Source organism: Homo sapiens, chromosome 13 (assembly GCF_000001405.40).
Source record: "Homo sapiens chromosome 13, GRCh38.p14 Primary Assembly".
Lineage (NCBI taxonomy): Eukaryota > Metazoa > Chordata > Mammalia > Primates > Hominidae > Homo > Homo sapiens.
This window is the reverse complement of record NC_000013.11, coordinates 42,649,294-42,665,769: the sequence shown is the minus strand read 5'-3', so window position 1 is coordinate 42,665,769 and position 16,476 is coordinate 42,649,294. Positions and strand designations below refer to the sequence as shown.

Sequence of the window (16,476 nt, the reverse complement as noted above, 5' to 3'; positions counted from 1 at the left end):
AAATCTCTGACATATTTCAAAATGGCTTCTTTTCCCTTCGCCCTGCTGGAGCAAGAAGGAATTTTTCTCTGATATTCACCGTGAGAAGCAGGTTGAACTCATGGAGGTAAAACTCACAAATGTGTGAGGATCCCACTGTGACTGGAGACCCCTGGAGTTTTTAATTCTCCTTCTTGCCCATACTGAGCCCCCAGCAGTTCATTAATTACAGTTCAAGATTTTTGAACCCAGCACTTGTTCTTGTGGAGGTTTCTGCTCATGGGTTTCCACTCTGATAGGTTTTAATTCTCCATATCCACCTCTGCCTCCAATTTGTGAGGGTAGCAGTTTGACCTGTAACCTCACTTCTCTTACAGATCTGTATTAGGCCATTCTTGCATTGCTATAAAGAAATACCTAACATTGGGTAAGTTATAAAGAAAAGAGGTTTAATTGGTTCACAGTTCTGCAGGCTTTACAGGAAGGACAGTGCTGGCATCTGCTCAGCTTCTAGGGAGGCCCCAGGAAACTTACAATCATGGGAGAAGGTGAAGTGGGAGTAGGCACATCACATGGCAAAAGCAGGAGCAAGAGAGAGAAGGGTAGGGAGAGGTGCCACACACTTTTAAATGACCAGATCTCATGTGAACTCAGAGCAAAAGCTCACTTATCACCAAGGGATAAGAGCAAGAGCTCACTTATCACCAAGACATTCATAAGGGATTTGCCCATGATCCAAACACCTCCCACCAGGTCCCACTTCCAAGATTGGTGATTACTTTTCTTTTTTTTTTTTATTTGATATGGAGTCTCACTCTTTCACCCAGGCTGGAGTGCAATGGTGCAATCTTGGCTCACTGCAAACTCCGCCTCCCGGGTTCAAGTGATTCTCCTGCCCCAGCCTCCCAAGTAGCTGGGATTACGGCATGTGTCACCACGCCCAGCTAATTTTGTATTTTTAGTGGAGACAGGGTTTTGCCACATTGGTCACTCTGGTCTCGAACTCCTGACTTCAGGTGATCCACCTGCTTCGGCCTCCCAAAGTGCTGGGATTCCATGCCCAGCTGGGGGTTACATTTCAACATGAGATTTGGGCAGGGACAAGTACTAAAATTGTATCGAGATCTAAGAAGATTTGTTGAGTTTTCAGTTTGTTCTGTTTTTTTGCTTATTGTTAGGAGATAGTGGCTACTTTCAAGCTTCTTATATGCTGGACCAGAAACTGAAAGTCAGCTGTCATCTTTTAAAGAGAAGAAAGTTGTCCTTAGAGAACACCCTCTCCCATAACCTTGCTGCTAGTGCTTGGCAGACCAAGCTGAGAGAGAACCCTGGGCTGAAGACCTGATATAGCAAAACTCAGGACTTACAAGGATTTGACCGACCCCATTTTAACAGTTTGGCAGACTTTTTTGAAGCTAGGCTTTGTAATTAAAACAGGCTAAAGAAATAATGACTTCATGCCTTGCACTAAATTACTATTGGAATAAAATTGAGCAAGTTGAGTAAGATATGAAGGAGCCACTGGGGAAAGCACTGGATTCAAACAGGCTTGATTTTAAATTCCAGGTCTTTTCTAGCTATTAATAGGGCAGCTATGGGCATGGGCTGCAGCTTCTCTAAGCTTTAGTTTTCTCATCTATTCAATGAAAAGACCAACAAATTACTTCATAGGATTGTGATTTGATTCTGTGCAGCTGTTTACACATGGAGATCATCATTACTATTATCATCATCATCAACAACATCATCACCATTAATAAAGCTTGTTAAAGCAGAAAGGAGGAGATAATTGATAGAGTGAGGGCCCTGAAGGGGCAGGAAGGAGTGAAATCCAAAACATAAGTAATAGGGTTTTTGTCGGTTGGGGGTGGCCACAGGAAGGATAACCCTTCCTCTTGGCTTCGATGTCATGAGGTACTGATGGAAACAATCATAGGAAACTTACCTGTGTGGGAAGGAAAAGAAAAGCAAACTACTTCTTCGTTTAAAGAAAATTTTAAGATAATTTTCTGCCTGGCTTACCTAGTCATGTTCACTTAAGTAATATTAAGCTTCACTTTCTCCTCCTGACCCTTTATCATATAACTGTAGGGACTGGGATCCAGAAAAGTCCTATGTGTTGGGGCTGAGGACTCCATCTCAACATGAAACATTTGTGTTCAAAGTCAAGAGCCTGCTTACAGATGCTGAGATGCCAGTGGAGGTACACACATTTGTGTGTGCCGATGCTTCAGTTTCAGAACAGAATTTCTTCTTCTACAGGAAACCTCAGCTTTTGCACTTAAGACCTTCAACTGATTAAATGAAGCCCACCCACATAATGAAGGGTAGTTTTCCTTAGCTAAAGTCACCTGATCATAGATGTTAACCTCATGTACAAAATATCTTCACAACAACACCTAGATTCACATTTGATTAAATCACTGGATACTATGGTATGGCTATTTAGATACCTAAAACTAACTAACCATGGATGTAAATGGCTTACAGATGGGAGTGCTTATTAGTGTAACTATCCACATGGTGATGGCAGGAAAATTTCACTGAGCTGGACATCACTAGACCTCAGCTTTGCATGACCTCCTCAGGTGACCTGAAAGTATATCCTTTAAACCCTCTGAGTCTCCGTGTCCTGCAGCAGAGCATAATAATACCTTTCCTGTTTACCTATCACAAGGTTTAAGGAGACAAAGAAGATTTTTTGGAAAAAAAAATCTGTGCTTTGATCATTAATAGCTAATATTTATTAACTACTTACTATGTTCAGACACTGTGCCTGGTTCTTTATGTAAGTTATATTGTATAATTCTCAAAACAATCCTATGAGGTTACCTTAATATTACTCAAGTGAGCATGATTAGGTAAGCCAGGAGAGGAAACTAAAGCTCAGAGAGGTGAAGTGATTTAGACAAGATTACACAGTAAACAAATAGCATCTGGGCTTCACACTGAGCTATATGCAACTCCAAAGCCTATGACTTAACTTCTTTAGTATATTCAAATACATTAAGACTTACTGGGCCAGGCTCGGTGGCTCACACTTGTAATCCCAGCTCTTTGGGAGGCTGAGGCAGGTGATTCACTTGCCTCTTGAGGTCAGGAGTTCAAGACCAGCCTGGGCAACATGATGAACCCTAATCTACTAAAAATACAAAAATTAGCCGGGTGTGGTGGTGGGAGCCTATAGTCCCAGCTACTCAGGAGGCTGAGGCAAGTGAATCACTTGAACCCGGGAGACAAAGGTTTCAGTGAGCTGAGATCACACCACTGCACTTTAGCCTGGGCAACAGAGTGAAACTCCACCTCAAAAAAAAATACATTAAGACTTATTATGTATTCATATTCATTATGTAGCTTGCAGCAGGTGAACCATATTATTAAATTCACTTTTTGTTTTTATTATTAATTTACTTTATTTTTATTTTTTTTTGAGGAAACAGGGTCTCACTATTTTGCCCAGGCTGGTCTTGAACTCCTGATCTCAAGCAATCCTCCCAATGCTAGGATTACAGGCATGCACCACTGCACCCAGCCCCAAGATCACCTAAAATGCATTATAGAAGTCACTGAACAGTTCTCATTTGATACACAGTATCAGGGAAAACAAATGTTCAACAACATTGATGCATTCATGCACAGCTACTAACAGGAAACAAATCTATCCCAGCTAGTGTCTTAGTTTTTTTCAGCGCTTTTTCTGCATCTAAGCAACTTCCCTATGTCAATGAATCTTATCTTTGTCTCCTTATACCCAGTTCTTCAGGAAACATAAAATATGAACAGATAATTCCAATACAAGTTATTATACTGAAGCCACTAAGAGAATGTTACAAACTAATAAGATATTAGAGGATGCAATAGGAAGCAAGAAATAAAGAAAAACAAACACATAGACACAAAATTCCTGGCACTCTCTACCATAAAATTTCAGCTGTTATTAAATATGCATAAGAGAAATCTTTATTCGTTCTCTGGAAGTTCCTAATTGCTACAGGACTCTTAGCAGGCTACTCACTTGCTGCTCTTTTACATTGCTGGGAACATATTTCAAACGCTACCTACCATAATAAAAGTATCTTAACACTGTTTGCTTTCTGCTGGTATCAAAAAGAACATTAGTTCCCTGAAAATTTTTTGCATAAAGGGAAAATGTTTTCTGCTCTATAAAGCTCTAATCTAGCCTTGGCTATAAGTGACTCTGTAGGAGTTGGAGTGAAAAAACATTCTAATCCACTCTAGTATGTACATTAATGCAAATTCTGTGTCATTTCTCCCTGATGATTCTTTGTCATTAGGGAAAGCTTTTTTTATGGAATTTTATTTATCTCCGTATCTAACAAACCCCTTCTCCGCCAACTTGGCGAAACCACTCACTGGCTTTTGCTTCTAGCCTTATGAAAACCACACCCTGAATTTAGGTAATAGTACACATTATCTAAATACTTCACTTTCCCCCCACCCTTTCAGGAACATAGCAGTCCTGCACTTCCACAACCCATTGAATTTAGGGTTGCCATTTGACTTGCTTTGGCCAATGAACAATGACTGCAAGTCGCTTAAGAATGAGGAACGGTGATTTCCAAAAGACATGCTGTACAGGCAAAAATGTATATGTCCACTGCAACATCAGAGTGCTTCTAACAAGCCATCTCTCAGCATGTCTCACTCCCACACAGAAGTATTCCCTAGTACATTTTGAGATTGTAGAATGTTATTGGAGCTAATTTCCTATTTGCCCTCATAAAGTTATTTGGAGATTTCACCTTTTGCTGTGTTAGTAATTTCAAAGAACAATGCTTTTTAATAATTACTGCAACTACCAGTTGTGTGTTACATGTGTAGTCACGTTTAAATGATCAAGAAGTACTTATATTTGAAAAATCTAGCTTCCCAAGATTAAAAAGTTAAATATGTCACAATTATCCGTCTTCTGTCGTGTATCTGTAATGATTTCAAAGGTAGGTTTTATAATCCCCTTTAAGATAGAAAAAAAAGTATTTGATAAATAAAAGGTTTGCTGACATTGCAGTTATTGCATTTAACAGCTTGGGCATATTCATTTCGTGAGGAAAGAGATGAAGAGTTTGAAAGGGCCTATAATAAAGTAGCAGTTTGATTTGTGTGGAGGATGATATCTCTGCTCTGTCTTAAATTAGTTCATTAATATGCCTAGATAGTATAAAGTTTGCAATTAAACATGATAAAAACACAAACAGTGCCATCTTTTGGACAATGCTTAAACTCAATGCACATATACAGACACACATACCTGTGTCAGGCTATGTATTCAATACCCACAAGCATTCATCACAGATGCCAGCAAGATCTTGTTTTTATCATTAATTAATCTCCAGAGTATTAAAGCTTTTATTGGCATTATAGGAATGCAAGCCACCATGCTTAACTTGCACCTGTTCAAATTACATGGAATAGCACGCTCAGATTGGCTTTCTAACATCTCCATGGAAATGCCACTGTGAACATGTGTTTATTTGATTCTTGGAGCACCTGAGGAAGGTTTTTTCCTTATTTAAGTTCCTATCTAAACCTAGGATGAGCTCTCCTTGCTTCTGGGGCCATGGCTTTGCTCTCACTGTGCAGGTATTATCCCAGCCTCTCCAAAAATAAAAAAGAAAAAGAAAGAAAATAAAACTAGGATGAAATCCATCTGGCTCAGGTGTCAGGTTTTGAAAAACAGGTGGATGGATGTCATGTATAAAAATAGAAATGCTATTGTTATTCTGCTTATAACTGTTATTCCTAACTGAAGTGAGAGAATAGACAAGAAAACGCTGTTTCCCAAAAACTCATTTTCTATTGAATAGTGCAGATCAGTTCAGTATGGGGCAATCTGAAAAGATGACCTACACATCAAGATGCCAGTATTTTAAAAGAGGAATTCCAAATTGTCATTCTAGTCAAGCATTTAATAACTATCTAGCATTATGCTAGAGACTCTGCATGAAGCTGTCCTGTGGCCCCTAAAATGATTGGGACAGTTATAGCTTGAAGACTTTGTAGGAGGAAAAATGTTTCAAAGAATGATTTTAAAGGAGTGTGGGATATAAAAACAAGATGGAGGTAATTTTGATGATGATGATAGCTAACATTTACTGGACATTTACCATGTGCTAGGTACTGTTTAAATATTGTACATGAATAAACTAATTTAACTCTCATGTCAATTTAATGAAGTAGATTTAACTGCATGTCAATTTAATGAAGCTAGATTTCTCCTCACCAAAGGAGAAACTGAGACAGAGAGGGGATTAGCAACTTGTCCCATGTCAAATAGTTAGTCAGCAACCACTTACTAAAGAATCTCAGGTCAAAGAAAACTGAAAAAATAGGGATTTGCCATGATGAAGTCGTAATGGACCAAAGCTAGGATCAGGGCATGAACATCAGATTCATTCACTCATTCATTCAACAAATACACAATTACTTCAACACCTATCCTCTGCCAGGTATCATTGTCATGGCAACGGATTGAACAAAACAAACTCCCTGGCATTGTACAGCTTGCCTTAGAGTGGGGCAGATACTACACAGAAACATACTATAACATCTTGAGGTGGTTAAAAAAGCAGAATAGAGTGAATGAATGCTTGGGGACACTGTGCTAGGCTCAAATGAATACAAGATGAAATAATTGGTACCTGCCCCTCAAAGCACTTTGAGCCTGATGAGGAACAGACAGACTCAGTGACTTGTGCTATGGGAGAGGAGAGCACAGGCTGCTTGGAAGCATGTAGGCTTCCCCATCTAGACTGGCAACGAGGCTTTCAAAGGAGGCTTCTCACAGTTGGTGATGTCTCCACTGAGAATTATAAAATAATAGAATTAACTAGACAGGAAGTGTGGGGACATTTAAGGAAAGAATAAACACAAAATACTCAATTTGAGAGTTGGGCAAGCTCTGGTAACTGAAGGAAGCTCCATGTAATGGGATCTTAGGTTAGATGCAGGAGAGTGGCTGAAAATAGGGGGGTCTGCAAGTTTGAGCAGAGGTCAAATCATACGAAGCCTCGCATGCCCTGAGATGAAGTAGATGCTAACTAATTCTGAGGGCCGTGAGTAGACACTGAGGGGTGGTGATGGGAAAAGATGAGACAGATTCTGTTTTCTGCAGAGAGCACTCCAACAACGATGTGTCTCATGGGCTGGAGGGGACAAGGTAAAGACAGGAGGATAAGCACGGAGACCGTCACAGCAGTCCAGGGGAGAGAAGAGGGGCTTGGAAAAGAGGATCCCCGTCTGCAAGACTCTTAGAAGAAAGGTGGTGGTTTATTGGATTTGGGGGAGGAATGGAAAGTAAAGGGAAACAGGAAGATGTGCAGGTGGCTGGTGTGGGGGACTGGGAAGGCCGTAGTGTCATTCACAAGAAGAGAGAATACAAAAGGAGGGGCAGAGTTAGATGTTGGAGTGCTTGAAGCTTACTAGACATTCCCGCCATTCCAAACATCACTGTTTCTCCATCACGCATGCCATCATCTCTGTCTTCTCCGGGTGTTTGAAAAGGCTGTGGCCCTTACCTGTTTTCCCGCATCTTCTGTGGCCTCTCCCTGAGCTTGTCTCTGGGCAATCCCTCCTCATAACTCAGGTCTAGACTCCAGTGTCACTTACTTCCTCGCCTCCACGGCCCCAGGCAGGGTGGAGCTCCTGCGTGTGCTCCCCTCGCAGTGATTCTCCCTCTCGGCAGTAACAGTTTCTTCTCACTTGTCTCTGTCCAAAACTAAATAATAAACTCAGCCCAGATTCTCCACTACACACTTCCTGCCTCATGGTACATCCTCCAGAAATACTTGGACGTCTATATGAATGAGTGTCCTGTAAATCCCTAGATATATGGACACCAAGCTCAAAAGAAGGATCTGAAATTAGAGGTATGGATTTGGGCGTCATCAGCTGGTGGAAGCAATTTCCCTTCAATTGATGACCCCACAGCCCTAGGAGAAGAAAGTGGTTGTTTTTTTTCCAATATCATCCTGAAGGGCAGTGCCAAAAAAAAAAAAAAAAAAACCCCCACATATTTATTGTGCTCAAAACACCTTACATGTATCTTCTTTTTATGCTTTCTGTCTTCCCAGAAAAGCAGGTGGTGGTGTGCACTCGTTTTCCTTCTTTTCTTCCTCTCTCTATTGATTCCTTTTCTGCTCAAATAAAAGGCTTTTCACACTAATAGCAAAGACAACATAGACACACTGAAATGATACACAAAGAAGATCTCTTTCCTCAATTTCAGGGAATGGCTTTTCTTTAAAAACAAAGGTAAAAAACGATCTCCTTTCTCCCACTACCCTTCCAAATCCTCTCCCATCTCTGGGGACCTTCATGTCTTTTAAGTCTCACATTTCTCTGTGTCCTGCTTAACCTAAGTTTCTGTTTTGAAATAGTCACTCCTTTCTAGGTTGCCTCCACCTAAGCCTGAAACCTTTTCTGTTTGTGGCACAGTACTTAGCACCAAGCATCATGGCATGATTATCCTATGAATTTCCCCCACCAAGGTGAAGAGAGGCATCTTAGCTGGATGGGGTTCATGAAAATGCTGTTTCTGTGCACACCTTGTGTTCGCTGCCTGATCAAGATACAACTTAGTATGCTAATGAATGCTAATTAGGGTGGGCTATGGTGTGTCCATCTGTCACATCAGTTTATGTCACTGCAGCCCTCTGCGGGAAGGAGTTACACTTTACTACTCCTGTGAAGATTATTTAAATCGAATGTAGAATAAGGAGATTGTGTCCTCAGTTCGAATCTCTGTAATCATCATTATTCACATTTATTTGGTGACTTTTTCTGTACCCCTCGAGATGGCTGAGCATCTCAGAAAACATGAAAAATGATAGTGAGACCAATTAATAAGTATTAAACAAATGCACAAAGAGAGTATATATTCTTGCACTTAATTCTTAATGTAGAATTAAGTACCTGACAGACTTTCTGAAATGTGTTGCTGTAGATGCTCTGAATCACTTCTGAATTGCTGGGTGTAATTTTAAACCGGAATGAAAGCATGATTCTTGGTTGAATGGGTTATGACTTTCAGAAGTCTTTGAAAAAATTATTGTAATAGAAATCTTCAGATTTGTGTGTTAGAAGGTTTTTTGTTAAAGAGTATTTAAGGGAAGGCTTTTATTTTGAGTGTAGATGTGTATCTCTTCCAGTGGTTGGAGGAGTGACTTCAACGCAGGCTGAAATGATTTACCTTTTTTCCAGAATGTTAAAATGAGTCTCTCCTTGGTTCAGATTATGAGGCTGACTCTCCCCACATGAGGAATTTCAGCATTCTTGGACACTCCTCTTTAACTTTAACTAGAAAGGATATAACAGGAAGAGAACTTACTGAAGCAATTTCACTGAAAAGAACTATTGTCATACTGATTCTGTAGCATGATTCCCTCCCCCAGCTGCTTAAGAGGATCTGAAAGAGTGCTAGTTCCCTTAGGTTAAGCCTGGTTGGAGGACTTTCTGCAAACTACTGGAAGAGTGTTAATTATAAGGATTAGTGCCTGACCCTTCTTGGAAAGCTCAAGTTGCCTGTGACAACGGGATAGTGGTGGCTGCATTGCTGTGGCCACTACTATCAGAGCTTAAAGGGTAAAGCCTTTTTGAGTGTTTCCTGTGGAATAGACGTCAGCCAGGCAGGAGACAGGGTCATTGGGAGGGTTATTAGCAGTAATCTTGGTTTAACGACGGTGATCACAGTAGACCAAAGAAATTTTAATTTATACACAAGTTTGCTATAAACTCCTCAGCCCAACATCTACCTTTTGGAAATCCAAGCTCTTTTTTTATACATATGGATGCTAAGACCCAGTGAGTGATTTCCCAAAGCCACAAGTGGTAAGACTTAGAAACTAAAACATCCAGCAGAATTGCATCTAGAATCTTCGGGTGAGCTACTAGCCTGCAAATGCAGACCAAATCTAGATAGACACATGGCATCTACAAATTTCCAACAACCACCTCTTTGTGTGTACAGGTATACTTGGATATACTTTAGCAAAAGACAGGTCCTGGGTACAGTCTAACAGAGTTAAGTGTACAAAGATAGCACTGCTTTAGCATTGGCTCAGCATGTGTTTTATATTGTTTTGAAAATGGACATGATGGATTCACTTTGACTCTGTATTCACCATGGGTGGGGAAGCTGCTCGGTCTGACTTTTGGACCCAGATACCTGAGCAATCTGACCAAAGTGGCATGAGGTGGAAGATGGGGAGTTGTGACTCCTTGTTCTATGTAGGAGCCTTTTCCAGTCCTTCCATTTCTGCCACAACAAAACTGCCTTACATCCCACAAGAGGACACATTTCACCATTGCCCTGTCCCTAAGAAGGAGCCAGAAAGACAAAACCAACAAAACCGCACCGACCACTTTAAACACCCAGATCTTGGAATAATAGGTTTCCAAATAATAGGTTTCCAATAATCATGTTTTAACATCTGCACACAGACTTTCACTGTGCTTTGCGTGTTTACAACCGTCTGAATCAATCTCATGGAGATATCCAAAGACTTAAAATGTAAACATTGATTCCTTTGGTCATTTCTTTTCTATATTCCTACACTTTTTCATTTTGTATCAAAACCTTTAGATTTGAAGCACAGATCCTCTGACCCTTCAACTCATGCTTCTGGTCTCCAATAAATATCAGGGAAGCTTTCAGAGATGGGGTGAAGAAATCTAATTTTCCAAATTAGAACTCCCTTTCATTCACAGGCAACAAGACTTCTAGGAAAAGCTAGATGTAGCTGTTTAAAATCCTAACTATTAAATCTGGAAGGATTTTGAAGTTAAATGATGAAATAGGTGCTTTCCTCATCTAGTGAGCAAGCTCTGCTTCACTGTGTCATGCAGGCATTCTCTTTAGTTTTATGAGTGTTTTCATTTTGAAAACTTGATATCTTATTACTGAAAATTCTACTCCTTTGAAGGAGGGGATTAGGAAGATACTGTTCCAAAGCAACAAAATTTCGATTAGACAGGAGAAATAAACTAAAGATTTCTCTTGTATGACATGGAAACTGTAGTTAATAGCAATGTATTTTATACTTCAAAACTACTAAGAGAATAGATTTTAAGTGTTCTCACTGGAAATAAATGATAAGTATGTGAGGTAAGGCATATGTTAATTAACTTGATTTACTCATTCCACAATGTATATATATATTGAAACATAATGTTGTACACCATAAATATACACAATTTTTGTCAATTAAAAAATTAATTAATTCTGCTTTGAGTTGGTGTTTGCAAAAAATCAATAAACAAAGAGGAATAAAAAGAAAAAAGAGGAAAAAGAACAAAAAATAAAAGAAGAAAATTTAAAAATAAAAATAAGTTAATAAGTTATTTAAAATTAATATTTTAAAATAATTTTTATTTAGTAAAAGATTATTACTAAATTAATAAAAATAATTATTAATTGATTGTTCACCTCCTTTTTCTGTTTTCCTGAGTTTTCCTCCTTTTCATTGACCATTGCTTTATGATCTCCTCCATACAATGATTACATTTCTCTTCTCCTAGCACTTACTCCACTCCAAGATACTGTTTTGGGGAGAAGGGCAGGACTTCTCCACATCCATTTCCCTTCAGGGGCTTTTTGGCTCGTATTCTCCTCACCCAGAGGCATACAGGCAGAAGGATAAACCCTGGGGGTGCACACTCTATGACCCACTTCTCATCATGCTGTTCTCTAGGCAGTGACCACATCAACCTATATTTAAATTTTTGCAAAACCAGGCCAGGTCTCACGTTGTCACACACACAGTAACAGACATCCTGAGTTGGCTTTTGTGTTGTGCTGGCCCCTAGTTTGTTTCTTGTCTCTTTTAAGTCAACCGAAATCCATGCAAATGGGAAGGTGCTTGCCTGACACATGATTTATTACTCAGCCTTTGCAGGATCTGTACATTTCATTTGAATATTTGCAATCACATGCAAGTTGCGCCTGGGTGCTCTGTATGTTGAAGGCAGGAATCTTTACTGCACTAACTAAGACATATTATTCACTACTCTAGAGGTAACAAACAAATTGATTTATCCAGGTATCTACTGCTCACCCAGCAGCTGTTGGAGTCAGAATCATTGGCTTAGAAAATCCATCAGAATTAAAGAGCAAATTTCAAAATAAATTGTTATCGTTTACATCTGCAGCCTGGCTGCATATACCCTGTGAAATGTTCTTTTTACATAAATGTTTCTTAAAAGCTCTTTTTAGTAAATACAGTTATGAAAGCAAGTGCCTCAGGAGCTTTTCCAGTGACAACAGCCACTGACCTTGTGATGCTGAGGTGGGCTTTCAACTTCATCTGATTTATGTTAACAACAAGCTGGCTCACCAAAATATGTCAGAACTCTTGAATCATCAAAGATCTCCCAACTCTGAAGGAGCAAACAATCTAGAAACAGAAAATGGCTGCTCATCCATTCTGCTGAATATTGACAGGAGCCTAGTCCAGTGTTCTCTTCCATGCTGTAAGAAACCAGCCTGTTGCATGGCAAAAGTGACAACATCTTGGAGTGAAACCACCATGATAACTGATGTTTAATTCCTGCAGAGACCAAGGTATTCAGCAAGGTCTTTAAACAATGGCTGTGGTATAGACAAGCCCTCATAAAGATGCTTATCTAACTTTCCTAGTGGTCATGTGTTTTGCAAGAAAGTCTGAAGTGTGATCAGCTGCTAATGCCTTTCACCTAAAATCATGCTATTTAAAGGATGCTTTCTGGAGGGCAGGTTTTGGGGATCCACCATCTTAAGGCTGCCCAAGACATTGCTTCTGTTAATAAGTCCCCATTAAATATTTCTTTCTGAGAAACTGGAGTTGTCAGCCTCTTTCTTCAACCTCTCAGCTCCCTTGGCCTTTGGGGCGGGTTTTCATAGACCTGCTCACTGTGAAACACACACAGTAAGACAGACATTTTGTGAAGCATTCCTCAGGTCCTAGACATTCCTTGCCAGAAATGTTGATTGGCTCTTCTCTCCTGAACAATTCAGCTTATGTATCCCTTCCAAAGTATCCTTCAGATGACCATGGTTATCATACCCATTTAACAGGAAAATATGAGACTCAGAGAGGAAGTCTCTTTTGGCAATTTTGTGGCAAATATGAAATGAAATGTTCAGAACTCCACTTAATCCAAAACCATTGCTAGCTTTCAGTGAATCAAGTTGCCTCCCCTGACTTTATACAAAAAATACTTTCTGAGGTGTCCTGATGTGATTGCCTTCAGTGACTTTTCAACTAGTCTGATAATCTCGGCCCCAAGGTTACCTGCTCTCATCTTTTAGCTAGAAGTAAGCCACGTTGCCTAGTGGGGTTTGGAGTGCGATGCCTTGAATAATTTCTGCTCCACACTTGCCCGCTGTGTGACCTCAGACACATTACCAGGTTGAACCAGGTGAGATATGAGATTGCCATATCTGTGGGTCAAAAACAGTCAAACATTAGCAATTTTATATGATTCAGCTTTAATTTCTCTAAAATTTCGTTTCTTCCTCTGGGAAAAGAGACAAGCTAAAAGAACTTACTTTTTGGGGTTCCTATGAAAATCAAATGAGATAATACCTGTCAAAGCCTAGCATAGTACTTGGTACAGAAGAAGTGCAGCTGCTTTTATCATTTCCAGTGGGGGCGTCAATTAGAAGTCATAATTTTTGATGTGCCTCACTTCAGCTGAGTCTGCTGAAGCTGTCATTGCAGTAAGATTTTGGTGTTCTGATATATTGTGCTATTTGACCTTTTTTTTATTTTTCAAAATTCTTAGTACCCTTAAAAAGAGGATTTTTTTTCTTTTTTTTTTTCTGCAGAGATGAGTGTCTCACTATGGTGCCCAGGTTGGTCTCAAATTCCTGGACTCAAGTGATCCTCCTGCCTTGGCTTTCCAAAGTGTTGAGATTGCAGGTGTGAGCCACTGTGCCCAGCTGTTGTGCTATTTTTCAATACAGAAATAGTCATTTGTAATGTTTGGAACATGTTAAAAATCTGAAATCTGAATTAGAGGCTGTACCTAAAGAGTTAAAATTTGAGCTAAAATTTTAAATCAAACAAAGGTCATTTAGAAAGCATTCTCACTATATTTCTCTCATTTAAAATCTTTCAAAATTAATTCAGTGTTTTTGGAATTTCCATGTATTGGGTTCTTGGTGATGCTGAGAGTTTTTTGTGTGTGTTTTAATTGGTCATTTGTATTACAACCAGAGCTGTTTGGGACCCAAATCTACCTGCAGAAGGAGGGGAAGGGAGAGGGTCTCAGGTTATTTCACAGACTTTCTGGAAAGCAACCACTTTCCTTCCCTCTAGGCCACATTCCCTCTGCTCCTCTCCATCCTACTCTCTCCCCTAGGGTCTGGTTTAGGCTCACAGAGACTAACTCCTTCCCAAAAATAATTTATTTTTACCCAGGATCTTCTTCTTCAATTAACATCATAGGTGAGGCTCAGGATGAGAAGACAAAGGAAACTTGGTCCTGGACCATGGCTTTTCTTAGGCAGCCTGGCATTAAAGAACAAGAGCAGAAGACAATGGTGGCCATATCTCATTTTAAAGAATACCAGCATTAAGCAAAATAAATACCAAAATGTGAATATTGTTGTTTTGCTCCAATATGCAAACTACTGGATTGTCTCAGTCCTGTGAGATTTACATTCTAATTTAAAGCAACAAGTTGTTCCTGGTGCCCATTCACAGGTTTCTTTCCTAACCTGGAAAAGCAATTATTGCACTGCCCCTTTTCCCTCTAGAAAATGCTTCATTGCTGGTAAGTATCATTGAGTTGCATAATATGTCAGGCATGGCCCCTAACATGGATTTCATTTAATATAAATAGGCTAAAGACGTGAGTGATGGAGTGCTAAATTATGTGGCATAGCCTTTAAGTACTACAAATGTTCAGAGAAAGAATGAAGTATGGTGGCCTTCATGGAAGACCTGGACTCAAATTCTCTCCACCAAGTGATCCAGAAGAATGTGCCTCTTCTCTTTTCTGCTTCTGTTCTTGGCTTTATTCTATGACATCTGGCTCTTTGTCAGAAACCTTTAGAAATGCATGTCTTAAAGCAAATTAAAACAATCTGGAATTCCAGAAGTTTAGACTCCATAACTTACCATCTCCCATACGAAACTGTCCTCACCCCTGTTGCTGGGCTTATGGCTCAAATCCAAGCAACCCTCGCCGGCTTCATCCATTTCTCATCCACTGTTCTTACCCCTGAGCCTGCCCACTAACCTCTGCTCCTTTTGTGAATGTTGCTGCTGCTTCTTCTGCTTTTGCTGCTGTTGCTTCTGCTTCTTTTTCTTCTTCTCCTTCTCCTTCTCCCCCTCCTCCCCTCCCCTTCCCCATCCTCCTCCTCTTCTTCTTCTTCTTCTTTCTTCTTCTTCTTCCCTTCTTCTTCGCTTCTTCTTCTTCTCGAAATCTCCACATTTCCATCTAACTCTGTTTAATTTTGCTCACCCAATCATTCAAACCAACCCGACACAGCTAATTATGTCAGGAAAATGGCGGTGTTTTGGAATTTTGTTTTGGTGTGGTGGATTGGTTGTTTCTCTCACTTATTTTCTTACCCAGTTTCATTTGTGTGCTCCTGGCTGCCCCAGTAAATTTAAAGCTCTTCAAGAGCAGAAGCTGTGCTTTCTCTTTGCTCCAATGCTCCCCATAGTGCTCAATGCTCTGCACACAGTGGGCGCCACAGAGTTGTCCCTGACTGATGGATGTAATGAAAGCTCCAACAGCCTCATGAACCAATGGACCACAGAGTGGTGTAATCATGCTGCTGTTTAGCTCAACCTCCAAACTCTGGGCAAAAAGCCAAAGCCCACCCAAGAGGTTGTAATGGTCTTATAATGACACAGTATTTGTTTACAAGCCTTCTTAAGAGAAAGTCAATTTGTAGCCTCTGAAGCCTTTAAGACATATTGTCTTATTAGCCCTCCTGTTGTGGCTGGGGAGTGATATAACCCTCTGTAGAAAAAGAGCAACAACAGAAGGAACAAATCCTGCTTTATATATTTCTTAGTGATATTCACAAGAAAATGAACAGAAAAATCTCTGGTCTCCCTATTATTTGAAGCCTTCTTTGATTTCCTGGGCCAGTGATGGCTATCTCATTTTTAAAACCATAGCATGTAAATTGGTCTTGGGTATTTACAGCAATGAATAAGCAATGTTGGCCAATGATAATGTCTGATGATAGTCAAGAAGTAAGTAGGAGATTCCTGTTCATTATCCCCTGAAGCAGAGTTCACAGACATCTTTTCCTTTTCATCTTTGCCTAAAATTGGATGGCAATTAGAAAGCAACAATACCCATTCTTGGTCAGTAATGACCTGCTGAGATGAAATAAGTGCATTTTCCTTCAAGTCTGTGTGGCCAGTTCTCCTCTTTTTACCCCTGGAAATGGATATTAGCTAGACTGAAACATGGGAAGTCTCAGTCATTGGATGGTGATGATATTAAGGCACTTAACTTGTTTTTTCAGATCTGATA

The 16,476-nt window shown here is 39.9% G+C and overlaps 1 annotated feature.

Moving 5' to 3' along the window:
• Positions 9,098-9,678: an enhancer, noted in NCBI's record as "NANOG hESC enhancer chr13:43230228-43230808 (GRCh37/hg19 assembly coordinates)". NCBI's record gives its function as "activates a minimal SCP1, AML or CMV promoter by ChIP-STARR-seq in naive H9 embryonic stem cells {active_cell/tissue: H9 hESC(naive)}" and the evidence as "EXISTENCE:reporter gene assay evidence [ECO:0000049][PMID:30033119]".